Source organism: Homo sapiens, chromosome 5 (assembly GCF_000001405.40).
Source record: "Homo sapiens chromosome 5, GRCh38.p14 Primary Assembly".
NCBI lineage: Eukaryota > Metazoa > Chordata > Mammalia > Primates > Hominidae > Homo > Homo sapiens.
Genome location: NC_000005.10, coordinates 123,337,162 through 123,353,330, shown reverse-complemented (window position 1 = coordinate 123,353,330; position 16,169 = coordinate 123,337,162). Strand labels below are relative to the sequence as shown.

The 16,169-nt window shown below is 34.1% G+C and overlaps 1 protein-coding gene across 11 annotated transcripts in view; it reads left to right on the top strand.

Moving 5' to 3' along the window:
- Nucleotides 1–8,439, top strand: part of CEP120 (centrosomal protein 120) — a 78,951-nt gene extending 70,512 nt beyond the window's left edge. For 10 of the 11 annotated variants that reach the window (NR_164685.1, NM_001166226.2, NM_153223.4 and 7 more), the window contains 2 exons: nt 3,242–3,387; nt 6,578–8,439. Coding sequence is in view for 10 of the 11 variants with exons in the window: in NM_001166226.2 (NP_001159698.1) it covers nt 3,242–3,387; nt 6,578–6,812 (381 nt within the window). In the remaining variant the exon portion in view is untranslated. Of the gene's footprint in view, nt 1–3,241; nt 3,388–6,521 lie in introns of all 11 variants that reach the window. The other variant, NM_001375407.1, reaches the window with a different exon arrangement.

Genomic DNA, 16,169 nt, shown 5'->3' with positions numbered 1-16,169 from the left:
AATCATATCAATAGCTGCAGAAAAAGTCATATTCATTAACAAACTAAGACTAGACAGGAAATTTGTTAATCTAATAAAGAGTTTTTACATAAAGCCTACAAAAAACATTCTTAAAATAATGGAACTTTCTTCTGAGATCAGAAATGAGAGAAACCTTCCCTCTATTACCGTTTCTTTTCAACATTGTATTAGAGGTGTTCTAGCCAGTGTAATAGGGCAAGAAAAAGAAATACTGTATCATTTGGAAAGGAAAAAATAAAACTACCCTTATTTGCAGATAACACAGATGTATTTAGAGAGCTAAAAAGTATCTACATTGACCTATTAGGAATAAGTGAGTTTAGCAAGTTTGCTGGAAACAAAGTCAGTGTGTAAAAATCAATGTTATTTGTCTACTAGAGGCAATTAGGAAGTGAAAATTGTAAAGCTCTACCATCTAAAATATAATCAAAGAAATATGTTAGTCTTAGCATATAGAGAACTATAAACTATTATCAAAAGACCTACATAATTAGGTAAACCATTCCATTGATTGAAAAATCAGTATTTTAAAGACACTGGTTTTGGCCAAATTGATCTGTGGATTCAATATAATCATCATAAAATCTCAGCAGGTTTTTTTTAGCCTTAGAAATGGAAATTTATGTGAAAATGTAAGAGCCAAGAATAGCTAAAATCATTTTGAAGAATAAGCAAATGTAGAAGAACTGTCGTATATTGAGACATTGTTACAAGAGTTACAGTAATTAAAACAGTGTAGTGTTAATGTAAGGATAAATAGATCAGTTTAGAGCATCCAGAAACAAAAACATACATATATGGACAGAGGTGATATGTGACAGGTGATAACTGCCAAGCAACAAGAGAAGAGGTGTTTTTCAATAAATGTTGCTAGGTCAGTTTGAGCTCTACATGGGCAAAAAGTGAAACTTCAAAAGGGTAACATAAAAGAATATCTTCAAGATTGAGACAGGCAAAAAAAATGTCTTAAATAGGAAAGAGCACGGTTAACCAAAAAGGAATAAACAGAAAAATCTGAACTATGTTAAAATTAAGGACTTCTCTTTATTAAAAAACATTAATGGAGTAAAAAGACAGGCCGAAGACTACTGGGAAATAGTTGTAATTTATATAATTGATGAAGGGCTTATCCAGTATTTATAAACATCAATAACAGAAGATGGACAACCAAGTAAAGTACCAAAAGCTTAAATAGGAACTTTATGAACAAAGATACCTAAATGTCATTAAAACTATTGAAACGTGTTCAACCTCACTGGTCTTTGAATAGTGCAAAATAAAATCACAATGAGATACTACTATGTAACCTGTCAAATGGCTAAAATGAAAAAAAATGACATTATGAAGTGTTGGCAAGAATATAAAGCATTGGAATGCTCAAGTGGAAGTATGAATTGATAAGACTACTTTGCAAACTGTTTGGAAATACAGGTTGAACATCCCTAATCGGAAATGCTTCAAAATCTGAACTTTTTGAGCCCTGACAGGACACCACAAGTGGAAAAATCTACACCTGACCCTATGTGACAGTTCACACAGAATTATTTAAAACATTGTGTAAAACGTTATGTAAAATTACTTTCAGGCTGTGTATACAAGGTATATGTGAAACATAAATGAATTTCATGTTTAGATGGTCCCATCCCCAAGATATCTCATTATGTATATGCAAATATTTCAAAATCAAAACACTTATGGCCCCAAGCATTTCAGATAAAGGATACTAAAACCTCTATTTACTAATGCTGTTGTAATTCTTATATCCTCTGACCACGCAATTTGAAGCCTATGTATATATCCAGTAGGAATGCATACAAATGTGTTCCAAAAGACATGTATAAAATCTTCACATCACCATTATTTATAATTCAAAACTGGAAACTGCCCAATGTCCTTCAGCAGTGGAATGAATAAATTGTATATTCATTCAATGGAATGCTGTATAATAATGTAAATGATTAACTACAGAGAACAATGAGTCTCAAAAACAATGTTAAATGAAAGAACCCTGACACAAATACATACTGTATAGATTCTGTGTTAAGTTCAAAACTTATTTTTGTTTTTAAAATTAGGGTAGTAGTTATTGTTGGGAAAAGGTGAATGGTTAGTGACTGGGAGGAGACACAGACTTCTGGGATTCTGGCAGTCTGATCTGGATGGTGGGTATGTGAGTGGTCTACTTTGTGAAAGTATATCAAAATGTACCTTGTCATTTGGCAGTTTTCTGTTTGTTACAATTCAATAAATACTTTAAAAAAATAGTTAACAAAAACCTATTGACTCAGGTCTCCCACTTTGGGATTCTGTCCTAAACAAAAGAAAATGACGTAAGGATTCCTGAGCTAACTGTGTGATAGATGACAAGGTGTCCTATTACAGCATTGTTTGTAGTAGCAAAAGTGTCTGTTATTGAGAAAGTGGTTGAATAAGTCATGGAATATCCATTATGTGGAATGTTACTCATTTATTTTAAAAGACTTTATCTATTGACCTGAAGAATTGTTAAACTTTTTTAAAAATGCAAACTAGAATGTATTGTTTGTTTTCATTTTTGTTTAAGAATATATGTGCATAGGTTTTTGTATGAGTCTGGAGAACAGAGTGGAAAGGCATATTTACTGAAGTAGGAGTGGAATTAGTGATTTGTATAGGGACAGTTATTGAATTTTTCTAGGTACATCTTTGTATAATGTTTTTCTCAGATGCTGCTCTTACCACTAGCCTTTTGGCTGTTCATTGTATTGACAGTTCATTGTATTGATAGCACCCTCTTTCTTGCCTTCAACTTCCGTTGTCCTGTGATAGTCAGCTAATATCAATCACTGATTGAAGGATTATGACTTATAGTAAAAGAGAATAGAGTGTTTAGAGAAAACCTAGCTGGGTATTTCTGGTTAATATATAACTCATAAAATTAGCAGTGCAAGGGTGGGCACACACCTTGGGCCCAGATACTCCTACTTGGGCCCAGAGGCCGAAGCAGGAGGATTGCTTGAACCTAGTAGTCTGTGGCTGTAGTGTGCTTCGTTGCTCCTGTGACTAGCCAGTGCACTCCAGCCTGGGCAACACAGTGAGACTCTGTTAAAAAAAAAAAGAATTGGCAGTGTGTGGCTATATCATGGGTGTTGTCAAATAGGATTATAATCACAAGTCAAAGTCATATAAAATATTTGTTCCTAATATTAAGGATATGACTTGTTTCTTTGTTTCTTTCAAGAGGGAGCAAGAAAGTCAAATGGCTCGTCTTAAAAAACAGCAGGAAGAATTGGAACAGATGAGACTACGTTACCTTGCCGCTGAGGAAAAAGATACAGTAAAAACCGAGCGACAAGAATTGTTGGATATAAGAAATGAATTGAACAGGTATAATAACTAAAAGTGTTTCTTTCAAAAGCCAAAGTTTGGTTCAGGGAAGGTACAACTTGAGGTCTCCCAAGGATAAAGTAGATCATATATAAAAATATATAAAATGTAGCAGACATATACAATAGAAAATCTATGCCAGCTGGGTACTGTGGCGCATGCCTGTAATCCTAGCACTTTGAGAGGATGGTGGGAGGATCGTTTGAGCCCAGGAGTTCCAGGCTGCAGTGAGCTGTGATCATGCCACACTGCACTCCAGCCTGAGTGACAGAGTGAGACCTTGTGTCAAATCTAAAAAGAAAGAAAAAAAGTCTATGCCAAAGACTATTAAACTTTTTTTTTCCTGTGAATACAGCTATGGCAAGTCCATTCAGCTCTTGTGTTTCCATTTATAGCATTACTACTTTAAAATTTATTTTTGTGTGATGATATCAGGATTATTGCTACTATTAAACTGAGTCTTCACTTATATAAAGTATAAGAAATTTCAAATTTTGTTATATTATTAATATCTGTAACAATAGCTCTTAATGAGCTCTTACTTTGTGCCAGGAGCTGTTTTAAATGTCTTATATTGCCCGGCCCTTTTTTTTTAAATCTTCAAAGCTACTTTGTGAGGAAGATATTTTCACCATTTTCAAGATGAAGAGATTGAAGATTAAAGACAGAGCTTAAACATTATTCAAGATCATGTAGCTAGTAAATCATGGAGCCAGAGTTCAGATCCGATTCCAGAGATTGCATTTTAACTACTGTGCTACACTGGGCTTCTCTGTAGTGCTGCGTTCATCTGAATCACAACTTCAAGTGTTTCATGTTAGAAAAGTAATCACTAGGAAGCAGCATAAAAATGAATTCTAGTCTTTTTGGAGGGTGGTTTTGGGGGAAGACTTCTTAGCTTAGTTTATCAAGGGTCTAGTATATTTTTCTTTGAGCAAAGTGCAGTTTTAGTTAACTTGGACTGGTTAAAAAAAAATACCACAGACTGGGTAGATTAAACAGAAGTTTATTTTCTCACAGTACTAGAGGCTAGAAGTCAAAGATCACGGTGCCAGTGTGGTTGGTTTTAGAGACCCACCTTCTCACTGTGTCCTCTCTCTGGTGTCTCTTCTTAGGAGAGCACTAATCCCATGATGAGAGTTCACCCTCATGACCTCATCTAAACCTGATTGTCTCCCAAAGGTCCATTTCCAAATACCATCACATTAGAGGTTAAGGGTTCAACATCTGAATTTGACAGGGACACAGTTCAGAGCCTACACATTACATTTAAAACAGTATCTTATTATATCTCCATGTATGAAGTGGAGAAAAATGTGGTCACTATATTAAGTGGGTTCCTAGCTGAATTAAATAACTATATTTAAAAGATAATTGAAGAAATACCAGTTGCAAAAGGTCAGCTTTAAGGACCGTGCTTAACAGCATTCAATCTGTGGTACTTTTATTCTCATTTATTCAGGAAATATTTATTTGGTATCTACCATGTTGTAGACTTGGAAGATATTACAAATTAATGAATTATAATATCCTTGCCTTCCAAAATATAGCACTTTCTTGGTTCTAGTTTAGCAAATATATATTTAGCTCCTGCTGTTTGCTAAGCACTGTTTTGGTGGGTTAAAGATATCCATGTTGCCTATCAAATTTGTAGATCATATACAATTGAATCTTACTAATGTCTTAATAAATTAGGATTCTGAGAGAACTGAAACCAACAAGATTAAATATATTAGAGACAAAAGCAGAGTCCTCTGTATAAGCTATAAGAAAAATCACTTAAGTGATAGATAAGATATAAAACAGTTCATGTGAAGAAGCCTAGGAGAACTTACGTGGCCTCTAATAATGGTGTGATTTGGCTACCGAAGAGTCAGTGCAGTTAGGGACGTTCATGGAAGTAGTGTTCAGTATTCAGTACTGGTAAATCACCTCTGGGGTGTTCTTACCACTGTGCAACACACTTTAAGGGAAATCAGCTACCTAGAGAGCTTCCAATGGCATGTGACCAGGACAGTAAGGGGCAATATATCATGCCATCCAAGAAGTGGTTAAGAGAGTGAGGGAGTTTGAGACCAGCCTGGAAAACATAATGAAATGTCGTCTCTAAAAACAATATATATATACAAAATTTAGCCGGGTGTGGTGGCATGGCCTATAGTCCCAGCTACTCGAGAGGCTGAGGTGGGCAGATCCATTGAGCCCAGGAGGTCGAGGCTGCAGTGAGTTGTGATCACACCACTGCACTCCAGCCTGGGCGACAGAGTGAGACCTTGTCTCAAACAAACAAAATATACTAAGTATTATTATTACTGCTCCAGTTTCAAGACAGTTTGATCAACAGTATTCTATTGGAAATACCCAAATCGCAGGTCAGCATCTACTCTCCTTTTCTTATCCCCAAATGAGATTATAACAAACATAACTTGAAGATATCCATACAAAACCTTAACATGCATATGCCCTTTGAACTAGGCATATGTAAAGAATTTCACTTTCTACAAATAGAGATACAACTCAACTCCATAATAGTAGGGAATTTTTTTCTTGGTTCACTGCACTATCCCCAAAACGTGTTTGGCACAAATAAATGTTTGTTGAATGAATTTTTAAAAATATGTTCAATACAACAACAAAGGTTTAGGAGCAACCTAAAGACCAATAATAAAGGATGACTAAATGATGATACCCCAAATGATGGAATATTATAAAACAATTTAGAGGAACATTTAATGATATTAAAAAATCTCTATATAAATGAGAAAAGTAGTATACAGAATTGCATATGTAGTATCAAGTTTTTCAAAAAATACATATTTTAAGTACATATATGCATTTTTTAAACTTGAAAATACAGAAAAATATTACTCAAATTGGGATCACATTACAGATGATTTTTATTGTCTTTACACAGCTCCAAAATATCTAGTTTTCATGTATTTTGTCACAGCTCCAAAATATCTAGTTTTCATGTATTTGTAATTAGAAAAACAAGTATTGTTTTTAAAGTTGCCTTTTATAAATGTGCAGACTCTGACTAGCCAAGTGGAACACTGGTTTTTTTTGGTTTGTTTTCTTCCTGAAAATATTACTAAAACCTTGTCTTACCATTGAATCATTTTGTTTTTAAATAGTGACATTAAGAAAACCAACACAGTTGCTACAGTGGCATTTGTTCTTGACTTCTCAGGTTAAGGCAACAAGAGCAAAAACAATACCAGGATTCCACAGAGATTGCAAGTGGAAAAAAGGATGGCCCCCATGGCAGTGTATTGGAAGAAGGTTTGGATGATTATTTGACTCGCCTGATAGAAGAAAGGGATACTTTGATGAGAACGGGTGTGTATAATCACGAGGATCGAATAATAAGTGAACTCGACCGACAGATCAGAGAGATTTTGGCAAAAAGCAATGCCAGTAATTAATAACATTTGGAAAAGCTTTATAGAGACTCTAAGTCTAAATTTTAATTTCTTTGTAAAAACCTCAAAAGTGAGGAAAATGGATGTTTTAAAATGGTATTTTCAATTTTTTATAAGCAAAATTTTGTATGTTATTGTATAGTATTTATTTGATCTTATTTACTTTATGCTACCTCTCCCACACTGGTTTTATTTGTAATTTGCATTTATATACTCATTTTAAATGACTTTTCAGTGTTTTTCATAGTTTATAATCTGATGGCTAACTAACTTTCAAAACAGCTTTTAACTAAGTTTGTTGTAGGAGAAATGACTGCGGTAATTTCCAGTTCTATAATGTTTCATGTTGAGCCAAAAGAGTATATCTTGCACTTTAAAAACGCTGCGTCCTATTCCATTTGAATGTAAATTCTTAAAAGTTGAGACCAATTGTAACCAGTTTAACTCATTTTAGATGACCTTTTTTTCTTATAATATTTGCAAGTGACAAGTTTGAAAACAAAGCAAGATCAGTGCAGAGAAGCCACATGACATGTTGGGTGACAGATTGGTCATTTATTTAAATAAAGTTAATACAGATTAAATTTGTTTCAAGAGCTATTGAATTTTCAAATTTTCAGTGTATTTATAACTTTTAAGAACATGAAGTATTAGCTTAATATAGTTTTCTCTGTTGGTTTCTTCCTCAAGTTTGCATTGTTTTCTTTTGTTAAAATTAGAGATTTCTTTTTATTTTCCAGTTATAGTAATACTAGCTGTCAGCTTAAACCCTCTGTAATAGAACATGGAAACAGACACATAAAGACATTAGCTGAAAAAATAGAGTGAAAATCAACTATTTTTTACTCCCGCTAATTTCAATCAATCGTTTTCAAAAGCGCACGAGATTCACTCATTGGATTTATGCAGTGCCCTGTCTGTATAAAAACTCTTAAGAGTTCCTTTATATCATATTCTTCAGAGCCAACATTTGTCCTCAAAGCAACGTTTCCCACCTCCTTTTACTGAGTACTGAAAAAGTTTTAGCAAAGTCACAGATTAGGTTGAATTTCAAAATATATGTACTTTAAAAAGTTCTGATTTCCAAATATAATAAAGTTAAAATTAAGTATATACTTTAGGAAGTTACCAATAACTTCCATCAAAGCAGAGTAGGATATATGGTAACATTAATTTTCGGTCATTTCAAATGAGGTATATTTCTTATTAGGGAAATTAAAGTCCCTATATTTATTATATATTTTTTCCTTATTAACAGAGTATTAATCTAGTAAAAAATAACCCAGCAGTAAATAATAAAGAAATTACTGAATGAGAGGATAATGAATCTGAATCATAGCAGGAATTTGCAATATTAATTATGGTTAGCTATTTTTCTCTCATTGATTTTTGTGCCACTTGAATGGAACAGAAGCAAGCCTTATGTTTTGGAAGGTCTGCGGTAAAATGCTGTGACTGTTTACTTTCAATTGCATTGTGTGTTGCCTGTGACTGCTTTCAAACGCTAGAGGGGGCCTCTGATTTAAAGAAATAAAAAGGACTTTTCTAAAATGGATGTGTAGTTTATTTTGCCTTTTGTAAAGCTCTTTTGGCTATTGTAACTTAACAAATAAAATCATAATTGTGTGCATCTCTGAGTTCTTGAGCAGCCTGTTACTTCTGTTTCTAAACAGAGTGGGCATAGTGTTCGGGTTTTCCTATTTCAAATGACTGTCTTTTTTTCTCAAGTGTTTACATACTATTTTTTGTCTTACAACTAGGGGAGTCTGAAATATTAACACTGTTTTGTAGTCCTTTTAGCAATACCCATTCCATTTGTAAGTGGCATCGAATGTTTTTACACTGATTTTGCCTAGGAGTTAATGAGTATGACCACAGTAGATAAATCAGTGAGTGGGTGCAGGCATGGGTGGGTGAATAAGTTTCCTAGTAACAGGAAAATATCAAATATTTTAGGGTAAAATCAGATTTACCTTTAAAATTTCTGTGGTTTTTCATGGAGAAAGTCTAGTTTCCATGTTTAATGCGGGCATGTACTGCATAGGAGGGGTGTGTAATCTACCAGGTATATCTAATACCATGTCTGTATAAACATAGGAGTTCCCTTGCAGATAAATCCTAGTAATTTCTATCTGGACCCGAATTCCTGTTGCTTCAAGCAGATGTGGGGGTTTGAGTGTGATTTAAGGACGTATTAGGGCCTCTGCTGATGGGGAGACAGTCTTGTCTGACCAGATGATTTTCTCCTCTACTTCCTGTCCAGATGCTGCCCAGCCTGAATCTGAATTCACAGATTGTCCCAGTATATACTGCTTGTTTGCAGCCACTTCAGAATGGACCGACCTGTTTTTTACAGTCCATAGGAAGGGCCCTCTGGTAGCTATATATGGACTTAAAAGATGTGTTCTCACTAATACCATTGTGTCTAGCTTTATTGAATACCTAAATTTTTTATTAAAATAATTGATATAATTCACACAACGTAAAATCACCATTTTAAAGTATAAAATTCAGTGTTTGATACAGTCACAAGGCTGTACAACCACCACCACTATTTAAGACATTTTTATCACCCCAAAAAGAAACTCCTGTACCCATTAGCAGTCACTCCTCATTCTCTTCTATCCCAGCCCCTAACTACTAATCTTTTGGTCCCTTTGGATTTGCCTATTCTGGGCATTTCATATAAATGGAATCCCAAATTGGATATTTAAAATAGAAAATATTAGAAAACCTAAAGCATATCTTTTTCTATCACTAGTTTCTATATGTTTTGTCAGATATTGAATTAAATGATACAGAGATCCAGAAGGCCAACATAAGGGCATAATATTCATCATAATATTCATCATCCATTGGGAATAGAGTTCAACTCTTCTTGTATCTATCACCTGTAAAGCACTGACCAAAAATAATAGTGAAAAGTAGATAATGTTCTAGCAATTCTGATGCTGAAAATGGGTTATTGACACAAGGCTTGTGTCATATCATTGGTATCTCATCAAAATTGCACACTCTTCCATGCTTTACAGAGTTTGGAGATAAAGTGAAGCAGTGTTAACCAGAATGTGAGGGCTGCGAGGGCAGCGACCAGGTCTATCTTAGTTTCTTCCAGAATTAAAAGAGTACCGGCCATAAGTAGGCACTCAGATAATATTCGCTAAATTCATAAAGAAATGAAAAGATTGTGTATGGTCTACCTGTCAAAATAGATGTAAAAAATTTGACGGCTGAAATGCAGGGGAAAGTAGGCCTCCATGGCCTCACTGACAGGTTTATGAACTTGTTGTCTGACTGCCCATGCCCTATAGAAGTGGAGGAGTTCTGTTTGTTGGATTGTTTTTTGCTTAAAAAAAATAATAATAAAAGTTTGCTTTAAATTCATAGATGCAGAAAGTAGACTAGCGGTTTCCAGGGGCTGGAAGGAACTAGGGGAAAAGAGGAAGGGGGAATTACTGTTCAATAGGTCCAGAGTTTCTGTTTGGGATGTGAAAAAGCTCTGGATATGGATAATGGAAATAGTTGCACAGCATTGTGAATAATTCCACTGAATAGTACACTTAAAAATAATTAAGATGGTGCATTTTATGTTCTGTATATTTTACCACAATTTAAAAGTTTGCTTCAAACTGTGCCTCAAATCTGCCTACCCAGTGTTCTTATGCTGAAAGTTTTCTGCACAAGAGTCACTTGTCAAGTCATTTCTGAAGATAACATCTTGTCATTTCTTGATTGTGGAAATGGATCAAAAATGCTTCATTAAATGCTTATAGCACCTTTACCAAAATCTGAAATGAGTGAAAACTAATGGCTACATTTATATCCTGAGTTCTAAAGATAAATTGGAGACTCCTTGAAACTTAGAATTGTAATGCCTTCATGTTTTATAAGATTATGTCTTGTTATTCTTAATGACAATTTAGAAAAAAAAATGGTTTTTAAAATTTAACAGATAGTCCAGACCATGGATGTAAATTGGAGAGAGAATTAAAAAAAAAAAAAAAACCCAACACATATTACTAGTACCCTAAAGTAGGCTTAGTATCTTTTTTTGGAGGTAGGTTCTCTTACTGTTGGTTCATGGTCTTATTAACGAATAAAGTGGTTTGTGTAAGAGTGTTAAAGTCTGGCTGAGTAATTTTAAATTATGACTTGAAAATTTAAATCCATCTTTGACGTTTGTGTTTTGGCAATTGTATTAACAGCATATCCCTTGGAGCCTAGACGTTTCGTCGTACACTTTTTCTGCCACTTGTTCTAGTGTACAATCATGCTTCTTCCTAGCTAATGCGCCCTCTGCTTCTAGGTCTCGGAGACACGCAATCCATCCATATTGGCATAAATGGGGAAACAGAGACAGAATTACTGAAGCACCTAAATGTTCTACTGAAACCAAAAGAACTAGATTGCTCACTGATTTTGTTACATAACCTCTGTTTGGCATCAAATTAGAATCTGCTGTTGTTAGGAATGTAACCGTAGAAAGGCTGCTATATACTTAATTCCCATTTTATTTGCTTCTCTGGGGGTTGTCTTAGTGTTTTCATTTGAAATGTTTTTACAGATGTAGGCTCTTCAGATATGAAGTTGCTGAAGTGGAGACTCCTCAGAAGTTTAGCTTTCAAATTGAAGGGGGGTGGAAATCTGTTTAGGAAGATTAATTTTTAGATAAATAATTTACTGACTGATACATTAATGTACAATAATCCCTAGAGGCTTTTAAAGATGTTATTGTATTCTTAAGGTTTCTAAGAATGTTAAACCTGTCATTCGTAATAGGAGAGAACTAAAATAGAGTCCATTTATAATTTCTTCTTGGAAACATTTCACTCACACATTCGTAGACAAATTTCTTTTCTTTTCCAAATAACTTATTTAATAGTTGGACGGCATAGCTCTTTTCTTGATTAACATGTTAACTAGTCAAAAACATGAAGATGCACTGGATGAATGCAGAATTTTCCCCAATAGTTTAGATTAAAATTTGGCTAAAGCAAATAAAACTTTACTATAAAATCTTGCTTTGACATAATTGTAAATTTTAGTGAATGTCAACCCAATAGTGAGAGTCTGTGTCTAGTAGGTTGCAGTATATTGCACAATTCTTCAGCAAGTTCTCATATTAGTGAATAGATTGAGCAGGATTAAAGATATTATTCAAGCACTAGTTTCATTTCTGTGACTAATTTGCAAAGAAGGATTTAGTTACTAAAATTTCTGTTTTCTTGAAATTTGGAATCTCAAGACTATTATCGCATTACTTGAATTCAGTTCATATTGTGAGCAAAATGTGATGCACTGCAGATGGTAAGTCAAATCAAGAATCTGAGGAGTTAATATTAGCATACATCTTTAGTCATTCTGTTTAGATCAGAGAAGATAGTATAGCAGTGTGCTTGGTGTATTCATTTAATTGTTGCCTTGAGGAAGGAGATTTCAATTCCTGATTTAGCTTCATTGTTGGCAGATGAGATTAATGGTCTTCTCTTGGTTTCTGGCAGAAGTTTATTTAGGTCACTGAAATTTGTAAAATTCGCACAAAGAAAAGTATCAAATAGGAAATAGATGTGTAAATAGTTTTCAGAAGTAATTTAGCCCGCAGACTTTTTTTCTTTTTGCCAATAAAAAATGTATTTGCAAGTTCACATTTAGCCTACCATCTTTTCGTCTATTATCAATCCTCATTTTTTATCTCTTCCATCTCCCTATCAATGTATAAGTATTTGCCAGGAACAATGACACCCCAAATTTGTCTTAAAAAGATTATTTAGAAAACTCACTCAGAGTGAGAGAGAGAGGCTGAGAGAGAGAGGGGCAGACAGACATAAAGAAAGAAAAAGAGACGGAGAAGAGAGGCAGAGCTTAGCGCCCAATTTTCATTTGGTCTATGTTTTCTTTTTCCTTCTAAGGTCTATAAAATTGTTATATGGTTCCACTGCTTCTACTATTATTTTTTGCCTCATATTGTCACTTGAACCTCAGTGTCATTATCACATCTATCTGAGCATGTCTATGATCCCAGCAGTGCAAATATGAAGAGACGCAATTGTCAACCTAGTATGTTTTGGCATGACTCCAGAATTTAAAATTTCCTCTATATGTGCAGTAGGCATTTTAACGCTACCCTCAGTGCATATACACACTTAGTATAATTCCCAATGGTGTGCCCTTCTACTAGATAAAAGAGAATAATCTGCCTATTTTACTGTGATCAAATACATTGAGGAATTCATTCAACCAAAATGTATATATTTAGCAACTATACGGAAGCTATTTATTTAGCCTAAAATTTTACATAGGTATGTATAAAGTATTACTATTGTTCTTCCCATTATGATATCTTGGAAAGAGATTTACACATTTCTTTGTTATTAAGAAATTATGAAAGTGTCAGAGGGCCTCCAATGCCTTCATGTAATCAATAGCAAAGAAAGAATAAGAAATAAAATAGATTTCTTCTTCTTTATCTACACTCACTGCTCTACCTTTCTAATGACAGCTTCAGTTGCTATGATGCACAGTATACAAAAGTTTCTAATCACAGCATTATTACTAAAAGCTCTAATTATACATGTTAATTATTTTATGTCAAGAGACACTTTCTCAGATTCAGTAAGAGGAGATACTAAATTTTAAACTACAAGTATTACCAAATCTATTTGAACCAGAGAAGCAATTTGTTATAAATTACATTAGATTAGCTGCTAGTCATAAGGGAACTTCAGAGGTAAGCCTATTGAGGAGACTAGAACACCCCAATCTATTTCTAGGCCTGTGCTCCAAGAAAGTTGGCTAGCAAAGGATGAGGGAGTGAGTATATGCAAACTCAGTTGGACTCTAAGGTACCCTTAAAATCCACAGGGTCCAATGCACTCTATGGAACATAACATTTTTGACATTTGGGGTACAAGTGATACTGTGGTCTGAATGCTTGTGTCCCTCAAAGTTCATTTGTTGAAACCTAATTACCAATGTGATGATATTAGGAGGTGGGGCCTTTGGGAGGTGATTATATCATAAAGGTGGGGTCCCCATTAATGGGATTTGTGACCTTATAAAAGAGGACCCAGAAAGCTGCCTTCATTCTTCTACCATGTGAGGACATGGCTATCAGGGACCATCTATGCACCAGACAGTGGACCTTCACCAGATACCGGGTCTGTCAGCACCTTGATCTTGGATTTCTTAGCCTCTAGAACTATAAGAAATAAATTTCTGTTATTTATAAGCTACTCGGCCTTTTGCATTTTGTTATAACAGGCCAAACAGACTAAGACAAGTGATATTAATGGTCAGTAAGAAAAAGCATTTGACAAATGGATACCAAATGGATATTGGTATCCATTCCTCATAAACAAACAAACAAACAAACAAAAAAACTCCCCAGTAAATGTAGAGGAACTTCCTCAATCTGATAAAGGACATCTATGAACAACCTACAGCTAATTCCCACTTAATGGTGAAAGGGAGATGCTTTCCTTCAAAGATCAGGAACAGAAACAAGAACATCTGCTCTATTCAATAGTGTATTGGAAGTTCATAACTATTGAAATAAAGAAGAAAAAAGAAACTAAAGGCATCTAGATTGCAAAGATAGGAGTCAAAACTATCCTTGTTCACAGATGACATGATTGACTGTCTCAAAAAATCCAATGGAATCTACAAAGTTTCTAGAACTAATAAGTAGATTTAGCAAGGTTGCAGAATACAAGGTCAATATGAATAATAACCAAAAATCAGTCGTAGTTCTCTATATTAGTCTCACACAGTAACAATACCATAAAAATATGCAGTATTTAGGAATAAATATAACAAAAATGTGAAAGACCTATGCACTGAAAACTATAAAACATTATTGAGAGAAATTAAAGAAGACTGAAGTAACTAGAGAGACATGCCATATTTATATGTCAGAACAGTCAGTGTTGTTAAGGGTGTCATTTTGTAATCCCTATCAAAATCCCAGCATACTTTTTTGTAAAAATTGAGAAACTGATTCTAAAATTTCTATTGAAACACAAAACACCTAGAATATCTTTATAAGTCTTGAAATCAGGTAGTGTTACTCTTCCCATTTTGTTTTTCTTTCAGAAAGAAGAAGTGGCAAGGCTAATACTACCTGATTTCAAGATTTATAAAGCTACAGTAATCAAGACTACACATACACAGACAGCTGATTTTCAACAAAAGTGCAAAGGCAATTCAGTGGAGAAAGGATGGTCATTTTGACAAATACTTCTGGAAAAATTGGATGTCCATAAGTAAAAAACTAAACTTTGATCCCAACTACACTCTGTATACACAAGTTAATTCAAAATAGTTCATAGGTATAAATGTAAAAGCTAAAGTTATAAAACCTCTAGAAGAAAGCCTTTGTGGCTTTAAGTTAGACAAAGATTTCTTTCATGTGACACCAAAAGCACAATCCATAAAGGAACAAACTGATAAATAGAACTTCATCAAAATTAAGAACTCTGCACTTCAAAGACACTGATTAGAGAATGAAAAAACCAGGCATGCTTAGAAGAAAATATTTGCAAATCATATATCTGATACAGGATTTATATCCAGAATACATAAAGAATTTTTGAGCGTCAATAAGAAAACAGCTCAATTTTTAAAAAGATAAATCATTTACATAAATGCTTCACTACAAAACGTATACGGATACCCAGTCAGTACAGGAAAAGAAGCTCAACATCCTTACTGATTAGGAAAATGCAAGTTAAAACCACAATGAGACACTGCTACACAGCTATTAAAATGGCTAAAATTAAATGGACTGCATAGACTGACCATGGACTCCTAGGTATTTACTCAGGAAATAAAGCATACATCCACACAAAGAATTGTACATGAATGTTCATAAAAGCTTTGTAGCTAAAAAAGAAATCAAATGTTCTTCAACAGATGAATGGGTGAACTATGACATATCCATACAATTAAATACTACTCTTCAATAAAAATGAGTTACTGATAACATGCAACAACATAGAGGAATTTCAGGATAATTACACAGAATGAAAGAAGCCCAACAAAAAGTACATTATGTATGCTTCCATTTATAGAAAGTTCTAGAAAGTGAAAATTAATCTATAGTGACAGAAAGCAGATCAGTGGTTGTTTCCCATTGGGATGCTGGGTAAGGAAATGAACAAGATGGAGGAATTATAAAGTGGCATGAGGAAACTTTAGGGGTAATGGATAGGTTTATTATTTTGATTCAGGTGATAGTTTTACAGGTTTATGCATGTCAAAATTTTCAAAATGCATACTTTAAATATGTGCCACTTACTATTTTGTGGCACGTATTTATCTTATGGCAATTAAACCTAAATAAAGATGTTGAATTTTTTAAAA